The sequence below is a fragment of the Homo sapiens genome, chromosome 6, assembly GCF_000001405.40.
Source record: "Homo sapiens chromosome 6, GRCh38.p14 Primary Assembly".
NCBI lineage: Eukaryota > Metazoa > Chordata > Mammalia > Primates > Hominidae > Homo > Homo sapiens.
The window spans coordinates 2,542,612-2,543,810 of record NC_000006.12 but is presented as its reverse complement, the minus strand read 5'-3'; the positions used below and the strand labels follow the sequence as shown (position 1 = coordinate 2,543,810).

Sequence of the window (1,199 nt, the reverse complement as noted above, 5' to 3'; positions counted from 1 at the left end):
TTATAGTAATTGCAAATATGTTACCTCCCATGAAATAGACATCCAAGGAGTTATACGGTCACATAACTAGAGAAGCCTCTCTGAGGAAGGGATGTTTGATGTGCAGTGGAAAGTAATGCACAGGTGGCTACGGGACAGAGAGCTGTCTGGGTAGAGGGGCTGGTGCAAACCAAGGTCCTCAGGGGCAGGGAAAAAAAAGCATTAGAGGAACAGACAGAGGCATGAAGGAAAAAGAGAAAAAAGGCACAAAAGGAACTTGGAGCAGGAGCCTGGAGGGCTGTGGTGAAGACCAGAGGGTTTATCTGAAGAGCCAAAGAAGGGTTGAAGTGATGTGTTGAGATCCACACTGCCTGCTGGGCAGTGTTAACTGAATAATGAGGTTCATATTTTTGGAAAGGAGAGATTTCTCATACAGGGTTGCATCCTGCAGGGTAGCCATTCTGACAGGTTGGGAAGCGTAGCCTCTGGCCAGAAGCTAGAAACAGACACTTAGAAGGTGGGAAGAATGTAAAAGGGATTTATGCTGAACCAGGTGACCAAATGCACATATTCAGTAAGCTACAGAAGGAGGCACGAATGGAGAAACGTGCACATGTGCAATTGAGCTTCATGCCTCTTCATGGGTGGCATGTACAAAAAAATGACAGTGCTAGCATAACCTGAGAGTGGAGTGTTTGGCCCTCTGAGATCAGAAGGTGAAGTGGAGGACAGGAAAACCCTTAGTATGCAATCTCCATAGACTCAGCAGAACCACTCTGTGGTTGGTGGTTTCTTATCAGGAAGGAACGCAGTTGTGTTGAAACCACAAAAGGGAGGGGCAGAAGTCAGGAGATTCTTCAAAATCAGCAATGGAGCTAGTCTTTCAAAACAGCTGGTTTCTGTTTAACCATTGAGGAAGAAAACCTAGTGGCGGTTAGCAAGGGAGCGGGTATAGCAAGGCGTGTCTGACCTTCTATCCATCATGGCCATGAACTCAGTTTTTACAGTTTCTCTAGGGTTCCCCTGGCCAAGAGAGTGTCTGCTCAGTTGGTTGAGGGGCTTAGGATTTTATCTTTATTTCTCAGCAGCAAAGTGAGCACTGAGACACCAGGTGTATGCTGTTGCAGGGATCCAGGTGGGAGAGAGTATGGCAGCTGGGAAAGTGTAACAAGCACCACAGACTGAGAGACTTGAACAACAGAGACTGGTCTCCTCACAGT

The 1,199-nt window shown here is 47.0% G+C and overlaps 1 annotated feature.

The window, feature by feature from the left end:
* Nucleotides 749-838: a silencer, noted in NCBI's record as "silent region_16827". NCBI's record gives its function as "represses an Ori minimal core promoter by ATAC-STARR-seq in GM12878 lymphoblastoid cells {active_cell/tissue: GM12878}" and the evidence as "EXISTENCE:reporter gene assay evidence [ECO:0000049][PMID:35858748]".